The sequence below is a fragment of the Homo sapiens genome, chromosome 13, assembly GCF_000001405.40.
Source record: "Homo sapiens chromosome 13, GRCh38.p14 Primary Assembly".
NCBI classification, from domain to species: domain Eukaryota; kingdom Metazoa; phylum Chordata; class Mammalia; order Primates; family Hominidae; genus Homo; species Homo sapiens.
This window is the reverse complement of record NC_000013.11, coordinates 50,096,170-50,115,192: the sequence shown is the minus strand read 5'-3', so window position 1 is coordinate 50,115,192 and position 19,023 is coordinate 50,096,170. Positions and strand designations below refer to the sequence as shown.

Below are 19,023 nucleotides of genomic sequence, written 5' to 3'. Positions count from 1 at the left end.
TTGCTGAAAGATAACAGCTTAATAACTGGGATAAAGAGGAATTAAGGACGATTTCTACATGTTTGCCCATAGTAACTAGAAATTATGCCATATATTGACATGAGGGAAGACTTAGGGAGAAGTAAAATGTGGAGGAGAAGAAAATCAAGAGATTTATTTTAAATGTGCTAACTTTGAGGTTCTCTTTAGACATTTGAGCGGAGTTGCTGGACAAGCAGTTGTATGTGAGTCCAGAGCTCCACAGAGGGATCAGGGATAGAATATAAATGTTAGGAGTCCTATGATGGTAGACAGTATTTAACACCAAGAGATTGAAGACATGACCTTGGAGGGAAATGTTGATGGTGGGTATGAGGAATATGTCTGGGACTCGCAGACATTTGAGAAGAGGAAAATGATCTGTCAATAAGGTAGTTGGTAATCTCAACAAGAGCACTTTAAGTGGTGCTGTGGAGACAATAATCCAAACTGGAATGGATTCAAGAGATAATGTAAGGAAGTGAAGATTGCAATTATAGAGTCTTTGAAGAACTTTGATATAAAGGGCCTTCTGTTCCCTTTGTAAGCAGATGTGGATATGGACTGTAGGGTGATGAGGGAGAAACTGAGGATGCAGGATATGGAGGGGATAATCACAGGAACAAAATGTTTGAATATGCAAGAGAAGATGGGACCTAGGACACAGTAGAGGGGCTTGCCTTAGATAATAGCAAGGATAGTTGATCTTTGTAACAGGAAGAAAGTATATTTGAGTACAGATAAAAGCACATTGGTAGATTTGATATGGGAAGATAAGTTTCTCTTGTAACAACTTCTATTTATCAATGAAACAAGATTTGAAGTGAGGAGCATAGAGATGTGGGAGATTTAGGAGAGAAGACATGGGACATAATCATGTTGAAGAAGAAAAGAATGAATTCATTAGGGGAATGTTCTGGGACTGCCAGTCTTCCTTCTTGGTGAGAATTTGACTTTTCCAGCTATGTCTTATTTCATTTCTTGCTGTTCCAAATTTATTTTGAAATAATTGCATTCTTTTGGCCTCTGTTGCCTTAGGTTGTGGACATTTTCTTTTTCTAGCTGATTCTAGTAATGCTTTTAAAGGAGTTCTTATTGTTGTTTTTCCAGTATACAAAGTATACTGTTGTATACTTCTTGTAAAGTATATGTGCAGAGAGATTCTATGGTCTGCTTTCACTCCCCATTTTATCTAGAAGTCTAGAAATGTGTTGTTTACTTATTTATTTAACTATCTATTTATTTATGAGACAAGGTCTCACTCTATTGCCCAGGCAGGAGTGCAGTGGCACAATCACACTTCCTTGCAGCCTCGACCTCCTGGGCTTAAGTGATCCTCCCACCTCGGCCTCTCAAAGTACTGGGATTATAGGGATGAGCCACTGCATCCAGCCCTAGAATCATGTTTTTAAATGGGGGACTACACTTCATATTTTTTTCAGATCACCTTATGTATAGAAATATAACAAAAGGAGTCATATTAATATTATGTATTATAATAGCCACCATTTACTGAGTGCCTGTGAGCCAGGCACTATGCTAGGCACTTTACATACATGATCTCCAAAACTTATAATGACCCTACAAGGTAAATCTTATTTCCAGTTACTTCCACAAGAAACCTTTTTTACTGATCGTAAAATCTTACCTGAACCTCACATAGCTGATCAAAATGAACAAGGTAAGGACAAATTTTTCTTTTTTGTGTGTCAAAACTTAGCATTTAAGGCCAGGTACAGTGGCTCACACCTGTAATCCCAGCATTTTGGGAGGCCAAGGCAGGAGGATCACTTGAGGCCAGGAGTTCAAGACCAGCCTGGGCAACATAGCGAAACCCCATCTCTACTAAAAATACAAAAAAAATTAGCCAGGCTTGGTGGCGTGTGCCTGTAATCCCAGCTACTTGAAAGGCTGAGGCAGAAGAGTCCCTTGAACCCCAGAGTCAGAGGTTGCAGTGAGCCGAGATCGCGGCACTGCACTCCAGTCTGGATGACAGAATGAGACTCCGTCTCAAAAAAAAAAATAAAAATACAAAATAATAGTTTGCAAAAATGCACCACACAAACCAGCTTTTTAATGTCATATTATATTGTTAAATTCTTGGTGGGAGAGTTGCTGACAGACTCAAGGAACTTGGTAAATTAATTGAGGTATCCCTTCTCTAATTATCTTCATCATCAACTAATATACTGAAAGCCTGCTATGTCAGAATACTTAGTACATTGTATTAAACCATTATAATTTTATAAGTTGTAGGATATGTATGCGTTTTTTTGGAAATTTCATTATTTGGATTTAAGTAATATCAACTTTTCTCTTGGTCAACAATGTACACACACATACACATACACACATATGTTTATACTCGTGATGATACTGAAAACATATCATTAGGATACAAACACGTATCTGATTATAGAAGTAGTACATGGTAAGTGAAGAAAGTGTGAAAATAGGTTAAAATAAAGAAAAAAAAATTTAAAGGACACCAGGAAAAAATAACCAATAGTTCCTTTATTTAGAGGCAACTGTTGAGAGTTGACATATTTCCAGGCAGTTGTTTAAGCTGATGAAGTTTAAATTGCTTGTGTACACTGCCTTTTTATATGACAACGTATCATAAATGTTTCCTCAAATGTATCATAAATTGAAAACTCCTCAAAAGTTTCAGTGTCTGCATAATGTTCCTTGTAAGTGGTTATTTATTTTCTTTACTTACAAATAATATTGCCATGAGCTTTTTTATGCATAAATCTATTTTCCTAAACTAGAATAAATTCCTAGAAATGAGCTAAAAGGTCAGCATTTTTAAGCTTCATTATCTGGTAAAAATTTTGCTGTAAAAAATTAAATTTCTCTTTTAATTCTGTATATATTTTAATATCAAAAATAAATCTAAGGAGAAAAATTTATGTGGACTACCTTTTAAAGTTGAGAGTCATATTCAAATTTAGACTCAAGGTTTTTGTTTTGATTTTATTCTTAATATTTTAACTTTTAAGGAAAAGTCTGCTCTTCAGAACCAAACAGTGTTGCCTCCCAACTCAGCATCAGTTTAATCTCACATGTATACCATTAATTCATGGAATAAAATGACAAAAGCAAGTGAAAAAATAAAATAGTTATCAACTGTAATCTAGTCAGTTCCATTACTCAGTATTATTTAAATAAGACAAAGAAATGAGTTGGGTTCTCCCCTAGAATGTTTAAAGTTGTACTGAGTATGATACAGAATTTTCAGGAAACATAGGATCTCTATACATCTTTTATGACTCTGATCATTATCATTCCATTGTGCCCAGTACCACTCCTCCAAATAATAATAATAATAATGAAGACAGACAGATTTAAAGTAAGTTCAAACTCTTTGGTCTAATTTTCAGTACTTTCTATAATCTGGTCTCCTCCAACCTCAAATGTAGCATATTGTAGTAGAAAGTAAAGAGTGCTGAATTTGGGAAGTAAGCAAACCTAGATAACATGAGTAGCAATGCTGGGATTGAAACTTTAGGTGAGATATTTAACTTTCCAGGGTGTTAGTTTCCTTTGCAAAACAATGGATTTTGATTAAATGATCTCTAAAATCCCTCCAAACTTTAAAATTCACTGTTTATGCATCTTTCTTGCCTACCCCCAGTATAAGAATTTGAACCTACATCTATCCGATTCCCCAAGTCTGTGCTCATAAACTTTGAATGTGCTGCTGGCCACTTTTCCCCCTTAAGCCTTATTTTAGCTGCAGAACCTTTTTTTTACTTGACCTATGAAACATGACAGAAAATTATTTATCTTGAAATTTTGTAATATGCCACAGTTTCATTGATAGAAATAATTAGAAAAATGTAAAACAAAAAAAAAATGAACTAATTTTAAAATCTGAGTTTGGGTCTCTTAACTTAGTCTCCCAGAAAAGCATCACAAAACTAAATACCCAGAAAAATGCAATAAAACTGCAGGATTAAGAGTTATGATTTGGGAGGGAGTATAATCCAATATATTTACAAATTTGTAGCCAATAGTATGAATAACTTCTATTTCTTAGCTTTGCCCAGAAAATCAATTATTCCTCCAAATAGTTTGGATCTCTAGTATATTCAACTTTTTTTTTTTTTTTTCCTGAGATGGTATCTCACTCTGTTGCCCAGGCTGGAGTGAAGTGGCAGGATCTCGGCTCACTGCAACCTCCGCCTCCCAGGCTCAAGTGATCCTCCCACCTCAACCTCCTGAGTAGCTTGGATTACAGGCGCATGCCACCATGCCCCACTAATTTTTTTAGTTTTTTTTTGTAGAGCCGGGATCTCGCTGTGTGCCCCAGGCTGGTCAAGAACTCCTGGACCCAAGCGATCCACCTGCGTTGGTTTCCCAAAGTGCTGAGATTACAGGTGTGAGCCACCGCACCTGGCCAACAATATTTTCATTTATTATCCTTTGAAAAATATTATTATTAACTGCTAACTGGCCACCAATGCTGTAGCTTGGAAAACTAATACATTCATTTAGTATGTACAAAATTACAGGTTGTATTAAAATTCAAGATGTGAAAATTGAGGAATGCTTCTATGCTTTTTCATACTATACATGTCATTTCAGAAACTCTGAAAGTACATGCCTCTCTCTAGCCCTTTCACTGCCATAAAGATCTCAACATAAAATGAGGGTCAAGGAAAGTATTCTGTTACAGTGTCAATCTGAAAACTATCAAACTCAGTATTTTTGGTCTGGTTTTGATATACATAAATAAAATACATATGTATACAGATTTTATATAACCATATTTACATATATCACATTTTTTCTTTGAAAGTAATGTTTAAAATTGTAAACAGAATGTGTTAACTAGAGAAATGTTGGAAACCACAAAAGTATTGTCATCTGTAATCCCACCAGCCAGAGAAAAACCAATGTTAACATTCATGTTTCCTTCCTGTATTTAAAATATATAGTTGCTAATTACTACATATAGTTTTATATCTTATTTTTGTCACTCAGTAGTTTATAATGACCATTTTTTCATGTTACTGAATAGTTTTGAAAACCTGTTTTTAACATCTGCATAGCTTTCCAACATATAGATATACCAAAATTTATTTATCAATCTCATTTTTAAACATTTAGATTGTTCCTCAATTTCTGCAATTATGTAAAGATATTTTTAGAATCCATACTCGTCAACTAATAGTCAAAATACTATTGTTGGCTCTCCTGTCTTGTTCCTTTGTGGCAGGGGATGGGGGAGTTGTTATTCCTTTTACTCATGTACTCCGGCCTATACATGGCTTTCTCGCAACATGAAAACTCCACTCTGGACAATGTTATACAGCCTGTCCCTTCTCCTTTCTAAAACAGTATCATCCCTGAGTGAGGTCCATATTTCTGCAGCTCTCCTGCAGCAAAAGAATGTGAATTAAAGCCAATTCATGCCTGTATAAAGTCTGGATAGTGTATTTTTTAACTTTAACCAAAGTTGAAATCCAGGAGATTAAAACCCCACCAGCAGACAGACAAAAAATCATTTGTTAGCTATACCAAAAATATGACTTAGCACCACATACGTAGAGACAAGGAGTGTGTGTTAACTATGACTTAGCTGATTTTGCCATGATCCTGAATGTGCTATTATATGAATTGTTATTACATTGAAACATTATAAACATACAATTAGGAAAAGTAAAATTTAAGGTTTTTAACTGGTAAATTCACTGAAAAACTATAAAATCTGCTGTCTAGTTTTTGACTTTTTATAGTATTATTTCAATAACTATCACATTCTGTATTAGCTTTGATATTATTTCTCCACTCATGGAGTAAAGTATAGAAATCAGAGAAGTGACACAGTGTTTTAAAATTACTCTAACTAGCCGGGCACTGTGGCACACACATGTAGTCCTTACTACTCAGGAGGCTGAGGCAGGAGGATAACTTGAGCCCAGTAAGTCGGGGCTGCAGTGAGCCGATCACACCTCTGCATTCCAGCCTTGGTGACAAAGCAAGACTTCATCTCAAAAAAACGAATAAATAAAATAATAATAATAAAACTACTCTAAAAAACCTTGGGTAAGTTTAAAATCCTTTCAATTTAATAGCTTGTTTGGGAGAAGAGTATAACCTCTCTTGTGCCTTGGTGAGAGTTAAACATTTTTTTAAAATAATTTCAAGTTTCTATGAAGCACTTGCGCTTCTGTAATATCAACTTGAAATCTGAAGAAATGCTCATGTTAAGAATTATTTCAAATAGGCTGGTCGCGGAGGTTCATACCTGTAATCCCAGCACTTTGGGAGGCTGAGGTGGGCGGATCACCTGAGGTCAGGAGTTTGAGACCAGCCTGATCAACACTGAGAAACCCCGTCTCTACTAAAAATAACAAAATTAGCGGGTGGTGGCGGCGGGGCGGGGCGGGGGCGGCGCCTGTAATCCCAGCTACCCCGGAGGCTGAGGCAGGAGAATCACTTGAACCCAGGAGGCAGAGGTTGTGGTGAGCCAAGATCGTGCCAGTGCACTCCAGCCTGGGCAAAAAGAGCGAAACTGTGTCTCAAAATAAAAGAGAAAACAAAAAAAATTATTTTGGCCGGGCGCAGTGGCTCATGCCTGTAATCCCAGCACTTTGGGAGGCCAAGGCGGGCAGATCACGAGGTCAAGAGATTTAGACCATCCTGACCAACATGTTAAAACCCTATCTCTATAAAAATACAAAAAAAAAATTAGCTGGGCATGGTGGTGCGTGCCTGTAGTCCCCGCTACTAGGGAGGCAGAGGCAGTAGAATCGCTTGAGCTCCGAAGGCGGAGGTTGCAGTGAGCTGAGATTGCACCACTGCACTCCAGCCTGGCTACAGAGGGAGACTCCCTCTCAAAAAAAAAAAATATATATATATATATTTCTACCATTAGCTCTGGACATTGTAGTCATAGATGGGAGAATGTTTAGTGAAAAAAGGAAACTTTTGAAGTGATATAATCCAACTCTCATTTTACAGATGAGAAACATGAAGCGCAGATATGTTAAATTAAATATCTTTACTGCTCAGAGCACTTTTTTTTTTTTTTTTTTGGAGAAAGGGAGGGGCTTCTAATACTATTATGGCCTACTGCCTGCCTGTAGATAAAAGGTAATAGGAAGACTATGTAGCCATCACTATTGGACAAACCCAAGAAAGATATCTTATTTTGATCATAAGTATATATTTTCCCCTCAAGATTCTTGTTGGAGGATCCATTCCACCTTTATCTATTACCACAGACACAAAAGGGAAGTTCCTTTACACAAATCAATAATCATCCACAATAAAACCCATGAGAGAAGCTGGAGTTAGTTGGCAAAGCCACAGCATTTTACCACTCCTGGGAGGAACATTTACCTATATCCATATGTATGCATACCTGTAGCCTCTCAGTTGTGCTTCAGAAAAATCCCAGTTGCATACATTACAGTGTGTGACCACTGGAGTTGTGTATCACAGGGACACTTCATATATGTTTTATAGATCAAATTAATGACGGCAGGCTAATTGCCATAATAGATCATCCCCAAAATATATAGTGGCTCAAAGTTGTTCTTGCAAAACAAGTTTACTTTACTATTTCTTTAGTAGTTTCCAAGGTCTTACTGTACCTAAGCATTTAGGACCTAACTTCCAAGGTTTCCTTGGAGGGGTCAGTCTGTTGGGAGTTTTTTAGGGACAGGAGCTTAAAGTAGTTGATTTCTTTAGTTGACTTAAAGAGCTTAAAGTAGTTGACATCCATTCTCATTCCACTAGCTAGAGCTTAGTCATATGCCCACATCTAACTGCAAGAGAGGCTAGGAAATGAAATTTATCTGTACGGCCATGAAGTGAGAACATGGATTTTGATGTCTAGCTGGCTGTCATTGCTTACTTGAGTGCCCCCCTCCCTCCCAAATTCCTAAGTGGTTACCAAAAAATAAATTAGCTGACACAATTATGCTTCAAATAGAAAAAGTTAATAGTGAAACAAAGGGACTTTTATTTAAGAATTAACCTCTATCGTTTACCTCCTTTAGGCAGAATTGTTAATTTTGCATACCAATAGTCAACTGGCAACTGAAATCTCAAAATGAGGAAAAAGCAAATTTTTACAAGCATTACCTTTACATACATATTTAGATGGAGTTTGGCTTGGTTTTCTTATTCCATTACTAGTCAAATTCACAACTCAGACTTATAGCTCCTTACTTGTTTTAGGGGCTACCCTATTATTAAATGATGTTTGAAAAATACTCAACTTTTTACAACAAAGATAGCAGTTCCACAAATGAAAACAGCAGTAAGTTAGGTCTGTTTGTTTCCTTTGGATAAGTTGTTATAATCCTCAAACTGTACTCAACTATTCAGTTTTTCATAGAAGCACTGCATGGTTGCACTTCTGAAATCAAAAACAGGAAGTATGCCATATAAATGTCAGTAAAACTAAAACTCAGTTCTATGGTTTGATGTTTCTCTTCCTGCTGTATTTTCATATTATGTATGATTTTATGTGTACTTAGAATGACTGCGTAAAGGCAAACACTAATCTTACCTGATTTGTTTTCTTTGACAGCCTAACACAGTTTTAGGTTGGGTATGGGGGGCATGGAGGAAACCTGTGAAATAACCTAATATTGTAACTTTCATGGAGGGAAAGGAAAGGGCCAAGAAACTGCTGTTAATTTGGCATTGTTAGAAATTGCTTTTATGTATAGGCTGCCCAACTTTATTATTGCCAGAATACAGTATAGATAAAGAGGGCAGAGTCTTTTAACTATTTAAAAATCTACTACAGAAAAAAACTGTTACACTTTGTCTTATTTTGACACCTAAGCAATTCTTGAATGTGTTCCACTACCTTAATTCCTTCATGAGACAATTAAGGAGTGGCCTAAATACTGTGAAAATCCAGGATATCCCTGCTTGTTCTCTGTGAAGAAGTAGGAGTCTTCTTATAGTTAATTAATATTTCCAATATAACACCATTCCACAGAAATTTCTATAGAAATTCCAAGAAAATATTTAAACTGACCAGTCCAGAAGTTTTACGTTACTTCAAATATTTCTGGAGAAATGTTACGAACACATAGGTGTCTCTGTAACTTTAAAATGTTTTTCTTTAGGAAACTGTTTCTCTTTAGTTTGTACTTAAATTGAACACTGAAGGAACAATTTACAGTCACATACTATAGGAGTGAAGTAACAAAAAATAGAGCCTGTCTAAACTCCCTTGAAAGACCACACTGACCCAGAAAATATGGCTTAAAAGACAAAAAGGTACCCCGATTGTTTACTGTCTTTTTTTTTTGCAGCATATGAGGCACTGTTGAGTGGCACATACAATATATATAACATTTGAGGCATTATCTTTTGATTGAAAATACAGAAGAGATATGGGTGTATGTGAGAAGTAACATAAATAAGGGTAGGTTAATGAAGTGCAAACTATACATAATTGCTAAAGGGATGTGGAAAATCAAGTGATTTAAATCTAGATTGATATTGGGTAGAAGTCTGCTGGAATAGGCAAATCTTTTTTTTTTTTTTTTGGAGACGGAGTTTTGCTCTTTTGCCCAGGCTGGAGTGAAGTGGCGTGATCTCAGCTCACTGCAACCTCTGCCCCCCTGGGCTCAAGTGATTCTCCTGCCTCAGTCTCCCAAGTAGCTGGGATTACAGGCGCCTGCCACCACGCCCGGCTAATTTTTGTACTTTTAGTAGAGATGGGGTTTCGCTATGTTGAGACTGGTCTCAAACTCCTGACCTCAGGTGATCCACCTGTCTCAGTCTCCCAAAGTGCTGGGATTACAGGCGTGAGTCACTGCGCCCAGCCAGCAAATCTTATGTAGAATTTTTAAGGAGTGGTGAATTTGGATTGCCAGAGAGAAAAGATAACCATTCATTCATTCATCAAAGATTTATTGAGTGCTTACTGTGTGCCAGGCACTGTTCTAAAGACACAGCAGCAAACAAAACTGTTATAGAACAGGATAAGGCAGGTCATCTCCCAGATACGACACTTTGATAGGAACACAAAATACAAATAGGAGAGTAGAAAGAGATGAAATACAAAGAGAAAGAGCTGATATTGGGCTTATATTAATATTGAAAGGCCTTACATGCTAGATATTCTAAATGGGAGAAACATGCTGGAAAGATACTTGGCATGAATGAACTTATGTCCCTATGTTCAGAACAGACTGCTTTCCCTTCTCTGTTGGTTGGCTCTTCTAGCCTCCTAGGAACTTTTATAATCACCAGTATGATCCAATATAAATACTGCACATATGAAGGTTCCCAGTTGAGGAGTTTGGAAGCAAAAAGGGAAAGAATGGCTGGCAAAGGCTTCAATCTTCTGTCTCCTTTTATCTTCCCAATGGCTAGTAGAAAATACTATCATCAATCTCTTCCTTGCAACAATCTCCCATTTGATATTTGTCTGCATTGTGACTCAATTCCTGAAGGTTCTGTTCTTCATTCCTTTCTGGTAGAATCACTGAAAAGAAAGGAGATTACATTTACATTTGCTTTCTAGTCAATCAGGTTTTTCTTATTCGCCCAGCAACACTTCTCTACAGAGAGTTTGATGAAAAGTATTTTATGTTTTATATAGGCTAGTGGAGACATGGGTATGGCAGGATGGGAGGGTAGGGAAAATATCAAGAGGCTATAGTCTTGATATATAGTACTCTTGATATAGTACAAGCTTGATATTTAATAGCTTGAATTAAATGGGCAATTTTAAAAATGAAAAGAAACATATCTGCAGTGCCTTACAAAGAAGTAACTATAAGAAGTAACAAGTTTAGTGATCATTTACCTATAGGGAAGAAATAAAATAAGGAAATGAACCTAAGATTGTAAACTTAAAGGTCCAAAAACTTGTGTTGTCACCAACAACAGCCAAGAAATTTGGAAGAAATACCTTGAAGGAAAAAAATAATGTCAGATCTAAGTGGGATATTACTAGAAGACAGAGGAGAAGCTTTCTTGATAAGCTATCTGGCCTGTTGATGTACATATGAAAGTCATCATCATACAGAAATTGAGTCCAGGCGCAGTGGCTCATGCCTGTAATCCCAGCACTTTGGGAGGTCTTGAGCTCAGGAGTTCGAGACCAGCCTGGGCAACATGGCAAGACCCCATCAATACAAAAAATTTTAAAAAGTTAGCCAGGCATGGTGACACACCCTTGTAGTCCCAGCTACTCTGGAGGCTTAGGCGGGAGGATCACCTGAGCCCAGGAGTTGGAGGTTGAAGTAAGCCTGCACTCCAGCCTAGGCAACACAACAAGACCCTGTTTCGTTAAAATAAATAAATAAAAGAAAGAAAAATTGATTGACATTCTATGGACTAATGAGGGAATGGAATGAAGATCAAATGGTTGTATATGAACTTTGATTGCAAGATAAGCTACCAATTACTGACAAAAAAAATTGAGTAACATACTGCATGATTCCACATATATCAGTTCTAGAAAATGCAAACTGGTCTCTAGTGACAGAAAACAGGCCAGTGGTTTCCTGGGGAGAGAGGTAAGAGGAGGCAAGGATTATAAAGAGGCAAGGGGAACTCTTAGGAATGATGGCTATCATCAGTTGTATTTCTTCCTTTCTAACTTGAATGCGATTTATTTCTTTTTCTTGCCTGATTGCCCTGGACAGAACCTCTGATGTTGAATGAAAGTGGTCAGAGCAGATATCTTTGTATTATTCTTTATCTTACGGGGAAAGGGAAAGCATGCAGTTTTTCATCATTATGCATAAGGCTATCTGTAGGATTTTTATAGATGTCCTTTATCTGGTTGAGAAAGTACCCTTCTATTCCTAGTTTGCTAACAGGTTTGGTTTTTTTTTTGTTTTTTTTGTTTTTTTTGTTTTTGGTTTTTTAAAATCAGGAACAAATATACGATTTTGTCAGATTTTTTGGGTGTCTATTGAAATGATCAGATTTTCTTTTTTAGCTTAATATAGTGACTTACAATGATTAATTTTTTAATTTAAAGCAATGACATATTTTTGGGATAAACCTCATCCAGTAATATTAACTTTCTTATATTTTGTTGGATTTGACTTGTTAAAGTTTCGTTGAGAATTATTACATCCATGTTCAAGAGGGAAACTGGGCTATAGTTTTCTTTTCTTGTAATGGCTTTGTGTGGTTTAGGTATCAGGGTAATGCTGGCCCCCAAAAATAAACTGAGACGTATTCCTTCCTCTTCAGTTTTCTGGAAGATTTGTATATAATTGGTATACACAGTGTTATCCCTAAGTGTCTGGAAGAATCCACTAGTGTTTCTTTGTGAGAATATTTTTAACTATTAATTTTTTAAAAATAGATACATAGCTTTGGAAGTTATCTATTTCTTTTTCTTTTTTTTTTCTTTTTTTTCTTTTTTTTTTCTTTTTTTTCTTTTTTTTTTTTTTTTTGAGACAGGGTCTCACTCTTTCACCCAGGCTGGAATGCAGTGGCATAATCAGGGCTCAATCTCGCAAGCTCAAGCGATCCTCCCGCCTTAGCCCCCCAAGTAGCTGGGACTACAGTCATGCACCACCACACCCAGCTAAATTTTTTTGTATTTTTAGTAGAGATGGGGTTTCTTCACATTGCCCAGGCTGGTCTCGAACTCCTGGACTTAAGTGATCTGCCCACCTCAAACTCCCAAAATGCTGGGATTACAGGTGTGAGCCACTGCACCTGGCTGTACTTCTTTTTGAGTAAGCTTTGGTAGTTATGTCTTTCAAGGAATTTGACCATTTCATCTAAGTTGTTGAATTTTATTTGCTTAAGGTTTTTCATAATATTCCCTTGCTATTCTTTAAGTATCTGTAGAATTTGTCATATTTCACCTCTCATTCCTGATATTGGTAATATGTGTCTTCTCTCTTTTTTTTTTTTTTTTCCTGATCAGCGTGGCAAAAGATTTATCAATTTTATTTATCTCAAAGAACCAGGGTTTGGTTTCATTAATACTCTCAATTTATTTTGTTTTCCATTTCATTTATTTCTACTTTGATCTTTATTATTTCTTTTGTTTCTTTGTGTTTAATTTGTTCTTCTTTTCTAATTTCTTAAGGTGGAAGCTCATTAACTTGAGACTTTTTATATTTTCTAATATAAGCATTTTGCTTATGTCTTCCTACATACTGCTTTAGTGGCATGCCACAAAATTTGATATGCTTTGTTTTCATTTTCATTCAGCTCAAAATGCCTTCTAATTTTACTGCACTCCTATTTTAATCAATGGGTTATTAGAAGGTTATTTAGTAGCATGTTATTTTGTTTCCAAACATTTGGGGATTTTCCAGACAGCTTTCTGTTATTGATTTCTAATTTTAATTCTACTGTAGTCAGAAGACATACTCTGCATTATCTGAATCCTTTAAAATTTACTGAGACATGTTTTATGGCCTAGAACAGGGGCAGGCAAACTTCTCTAAAGGGTCAGACAGTAAATATTTTAAACTCTGTGGGCCACATATGATCTTTGTCACATATTTTCTTTTCTTCTTAAAGAAATCTTTCAAAATGTAAAAACCATTTTTAGTTCATGGACTATACAAAAACAGACTACATTTGGCCTCAGGGCCATAGTTTGATAACCTCTGGCCTAGAATATGATCGATTTGGGTAAATGTTTCATGTATACTTTGAAGAGAATATATATTCTATTACAGGTTGAGTATCCCTTATCCAAAATGCTTGGGACCAGAAGTGTTTCAGATTTCAAAGTTTTTTGGATTTTCTGAACATTTATATATATATATATAATAAGAGATCCTGGGAATAGGACCCAACGTATTGGGTCATGTTGGTGCTCAAAAAATTTTGGATTTTGGAGCATTTTGTATTTCAGATTAGGGATGCTCAACCTGTACTGTTAATTTGGTTACAGTGTTGCTTGAGTTTACTATATCCTTGTAAGTTTCTACTTGTTTTAGCAATCATTTAAAGAGGGGTATTGAAATCTCTAACTATGGATTTGTCTGTTTTTCCTTGCACTTCTGTCAGTTTTTGATTTACATATTTTGAAGCTTTTATTATTTGAGACAAAACCATGTAGGATTATTGTATCCTTCTGATTAACCAGCCCTTTTATTATTATAAAATGGCCTTCTTTATTCCTGGTAATATTATTTGCTCTGAAATCTACTTTATTTCATGTTAATATAGCCACACCAGTTTTCTTTTGACTAATGCCAGCATCAGTATGATATATCTTTTTCCATCCTTTTACCTTTTTTTTTTTTTTTTTTTTTTTTTGAGACAGAGTCTCACTCTGTCTCAAAGTGACTGTACTTTGAGTCACTCCAGGCTGGAGTACAGTGGCGTGATCACCACTCCCTATAGCCTTGACTTCCTGGGTTCAAGCTATCCTCCCACCTCAGCCTCCCAAGTAGCTGGGACTACAGGTGTGCACCACCACACTTGGCTAATTTTTTGTGGAGACAGGATCTCACCATATTGCCCAGGCTGGTCTCAGACTCATGGGCTCAAGTGATCCTCTTGCCTCAACCTCCCAAAGTGCTGGGATTACAGGCATGAGCCACTGTGCCTGGTCATCCTTTTATTCTTAATGTTATTATGTCTTTGTGTGTAAAATGTGTTTCTTTTTCTTTTTTTTTTTTTTTTTTTTGAGACGGAATCTCGTTTTGTCTCCCAGGCTGGAGTGCAGTGGCATGATCTCTGCTCACTGCAACCTCTGCCTCCTGCATTCGTCCAATTCTTCTGCCTCAGCCTCCCAAGTAGCTGGGATTACAGGCACCCATCACCATGCCTGGCTAATTTTTGTATTTTTAGTAGGGACGAGATTTCGCCATGTTGGCCAGGCTGGTCTTGAACTCCTGACTTCCGGTGATCTACCTGCCTTGACCTCCCAAAGTGCTGGGAGCCATCACACCCAGCCTAAAATGTGTTTTTTTATTGAGAGTATATAGTTGGATCTTGTTTTTTATTTTCCTTTCCCCCACCATCCAAAATTTTTTGTTTCGTTTTGTTTTGTTCTAAGACAGGGTCTCACTCTGTCGCCCAGGGTGGAGTGCAGTGGCACGATCATGGCTCACTGGAGCCTTGACTTCCTGGGCTCAAGCGATCCTCTTGCCTCAGCCTCCCAAGTAGCTGGGACTACAGGCATGTACCACCACACCCAACTAATTTTTTTTTTTAATTTTTTATAGAGATGGAGTTTCACTTGTTGCCCAGGCTGGTCTTGAACTCCTAGGCTCAAGTGATCTGCCCTCCTTGGCCTCCCAAAGTGCTGGGATTACAGGGATGAGCCACTGCGCCCAGGCCAAAATCTTTTTAATAAGATAGAGGATCCAGGGTTAGTTTTTGTAGCCTTGGCTGGCCCATCAGCCTCTGATGTGCTTGAATTTCTGGTCCCTGGAGTGGACACAGGGCTTAGTGTGGCTATGCTGGGTTCCCAGGGCCTTGCTGAAATGCCAGTACACTTCTTGGCCCTTGTGAGGCCCAGAGAGCAGGATGGTGCCACAGCCTTTGAGGGTGTCCAGGGTCAGCTGGTCAAAGGTGAGAATCTTGTCCCCAGCCTTGGGGATTTGGCTGCAGGCCCAACTGCTCATGTGCAGTGCACACACCTTCAGTTTGGGCACCTCCTGAACATGGTCCCCACAACCACAGCTGTTTTGTTTTCCTGGCCAGGAAGCTTCATCTTCCAGATCATCCAGGAAAGAGACAGAGATGGCCATTTGGTGCAACTCATAAATAACCTCTTCACCACAACTTGGTTGAAGGTAGAGTTTCTTCTGGCCAGAAACATATACAGCTTAACCAACAGCCTTCAGTAGATGTCCTGGCTCTTGGGTTCCTGGTGTTGAACCTTTCAGTCATTGTTGTGGCAGGAGTCAACTTCCGTGATGGTGCCTCCTGTTCATCCAGGTCCAAAAGCAGTCTTGCTTTTTATCTGACAATCTTTGCCTTTTAAGTGGGATATTTAGATAATATGCATTTAATGTGATTGCTGATATGATTACAGTCTATTGCCTTGCCATTTTTCTATTAGTTTCACTACTTATTTGTTCCTTTTTCCACCTTCTTTTGGGTTGAGTATTTTTTTGTGATTCTATCTTATCTCCTTTGTTGACTTATTAGCTATAACTGTTTTGTTATTCTACTGGTTGCCCTAGGGCAGTATACATCTTCACCCTACCACAGTCTACCTTCAGTCTACCTGATGGTAAAGAGTTGTTTTCGTATGTCTGAAAACATCTTTATTTTGCCTTTGTTTTTTGAATGATATTTTGCTGAGGTTAACATTTTTTTCTTTCAGTACTTTATGTTCTACTGTCTCTTCACTTGCAATGTTTCTAATGAGAAATCTGCTGTCAACCTTATCTTTGTTACTCTATAACATGTGGCTGTTTTCCATATTTTTTATAATTGGCTTTGAATAATTTGATTATGACATTCCTTGGTGTAGTTTTCTTCTTGTTGAGCTTCTTGGATCTGTGAGTTAATAGTTTTTGTCCAATTTGAAAATTCTGGCCATTACTTTTTCAAATATCCCTTTTGTATCTGCCTCTCCTCTCCTTTGATGCCTCTGATTATGTTTACATAAGGATTCTGTAAGTTTGTCCCATAGCTCACTGATGCTTTTGTCATTCTTTTTTCTCTTTCATTTTTGAGTAGTTTCTTTTGCTATATCCTTCAAGTTCACTAACCTTTTCTTCTGCCATGTCTAATCTGCTACAAATACCATTAGTAGATCTCAGATATTGTAGTTTTCATCCCTAGAACTGCATTGAGTTTTTAAAAATGTCTTTCATGTCTCTACTTTCTGAAAATATAGAATATAGCTATAATAATGTTCAATGTCTTTACTAGTTCTAACATCTTTCTCTGCTTAAGGTCACTTTCAGATGATTGATTGTTTTCATCATTGTGGATTATTTTTTCTGGCTTCTTTGTGTGCCTGGCAAGGCATTGTGAATTTTATCTGTTGGCTGCTGGATAGTCTTCTGTTCCTCTAAATGTTCCTGAGTTTTGTCCTGGGATGCAGTTAAGTTACTTGGGAAAGTTTGATTCTTTGGGTCTTATTCTTGTGATTTGTCAAGGAGTGCTCAGTCTATAGCTCATTACATAAGGAATAATAATGCAATATAGCTAAATAATATACTTCAAGGCAATCTTTAAGTTTACACTTAAGTCTAATCTTAAAAGACTGCAAAAGACTTACTAAATGATCTTAGCAACAAATTTAATCCTCTAATAAAAAACATGAAAATAATAATTTCTGAAAAAAATATTCACTTTCATTAAAAACTGCAAAGCACTAGAAAGAAAAAGTGAGAGGGAGAGAAACTGAGAACAGTGGGTACTTCACAGATTAATTTTGTGAGTAAAGATGACTTCTGTTTAAGAATTGGTCTCTACTATATGAATGTATTTCATTCTGAGGATAATGGTTAAAAACAGAGACATTAGGGGCAGACAGACTTGGATGCACATCAGACTCCTCCACACATTATAACTCAACATGTATAAGCCTCAATTATCTCATCTATAAAATGCCATGTTCTTTTACAGGGTAATCTAAAAGAACAAAAACTGTTAATTTCACCAACTAAAATATACAGAAAAAAAAGGAACTTAACTATTCCCTGATAAGCAAGCAAACTATACATCTAAATTATACATCCAAATATTCTCCCCTTTTCTGGCTCCCTCACAATTTTCAAACGGTTTTGAATGAATCAACAAACATTCACAATTTTAAAAAACACATCTCTAGTGAGACTGTATGATTCAAACCCTATACACATATTATCCTTGCTTTTTTCCTTTTGATACAGCTATTATTCTATCTATATCAGGTTAGTAACACTTAATTCTAGAGGCCCATAATTTTTCATTTGAATATAAAAGATAATGGTATCTCAAATAGATTCCAATGCTAAAATTAAATTCCATGTAACTCTTTACGTACAGACAGCATACTGTTGAATAGAAGCAGTCCAAAGTGAATTACTGCTTGAACCCACAACTGACAACATAAGCCCATTATTCTTGAACAAATCTTACTTGAAAAAATCAGGTTAAATCATTTCCATTCCTAAAGCATGTATTAGCTTTTATGGCCAAATATGACTTTTTCAAGAAGACAGTACAAAAGCTGTATGAATCCCTTTTGTTTTATTCTACCAATCGCCTGTTTCAGCATTGTTACGTATTAGCAATTTTTGTTTTGCCTAATAACTGGAACTGAAAACTTACCAAACAAAATAAACTGGGGTCACTCTGTAAATCTTGACTTGGTTTTAGGTTTTTAAAAAGTAATGCAACTCATAATTTGGTAAGCATATTAGAATACCACTAGATAGGAATCTTCAATAATTAGAAATCAAGAACTTCTGCTAATTCATTTTTGTGACCTACACTCTTTTCTACCAATGAAGGCTTCATTTCAGAAGTATTGATTTGCTTATTTTTACTCCAGTTTTTTCATATTCCAGCAGCCTTTTTCATGTATCCTATCTATTCCTTTCTAAAATTCTGTTGTTCTGATCTCTGAGCTTTATGTCCCAAGCTTGAGAAACAACAACAAAAAACTCTAATAGTCTACTTTGTATCTTGAAGAGTACTAAAATATTCTTAACCTTTTAATTCTGAGAACTGGGGTGGTTGGGAGTTACCCCCAAAAAAGGTAAGAAGAAGAAGAAAGGAAAGGTGAAGGGAAGGAGAGAGGGAGGGAGAAAAAAGAGACCGTTCTTAGGATGGCTTAAAGTGGTTTTGTGGGGGCAGGTAGGAGTAAGTCTTATCTCTTGTTATATGTAACTCTTTTCCTTTTGGTGTAATTGGAAAGACCCTCAACTAGGAGTTAAGAGACTCAGACTTTAGTTCCAATTTTGCTACTGTCCTTCAATGTAATAACCAATCTCCTGAAATGGGATCAGGCATGAAGAACAAAATTATTACAGCTGGGCCGGGCCACAGTGGCTCACACCTGTAATCCCAGCATTTTGGGAAGCCGAGGCAGGTGGATCATGAGGTCAAGAGATCGAGACCAGCCTGGCC

The 19,023-nt window shown here is 36.8% G+C and overlaps 2 long non-coding RNA genes and 1 pseudogene across 4 annotated transcripts in view; 1 reads left to right on the top strand and 2 right to left on the bottom strand.

The window, feature by feature from the left end:
* DLEU2 (deleted in lymphocytic leukemia 2) overlaps positions 1-19,023 on the top strand; it is a 142,993-nt gene that overhangs the window by 10,349 nt on the left and 113,621 nt on the right. The gene's annotated exons all lie outside the window — the stretch shown is intronic.
* DLEU1 (deleted in lymphocytic leukemia 1) overlaps positions 1-19,023 on the bottom strand; it is a 446,475-nt gene that overhangs the window by 413,451 nt on the left and 14,001 nt on the right. For 2 of the 3 annotated variants that reach the window (NR_109973.1, NR_002605.2), the window contains one exon: positions 7,975-10,489. The exons of the other annotated variant lie outside the window; for it this stretch is intronic. This is a non-coding gene — a long non-coding RNA (deleted in lymphocytic leukemia 1). Of the gene's footprint in view, positions 1-7,974; positions 10,490-19,023 lie in introns of those variants that run through there. 3 annotated transcript variants of the gene reach the window in all.
* On the bottom strand, positions 15,318-15,859 carry RPL18P10 (ribosomal protein L18 pseudogene 10; annotated as a pseudogene).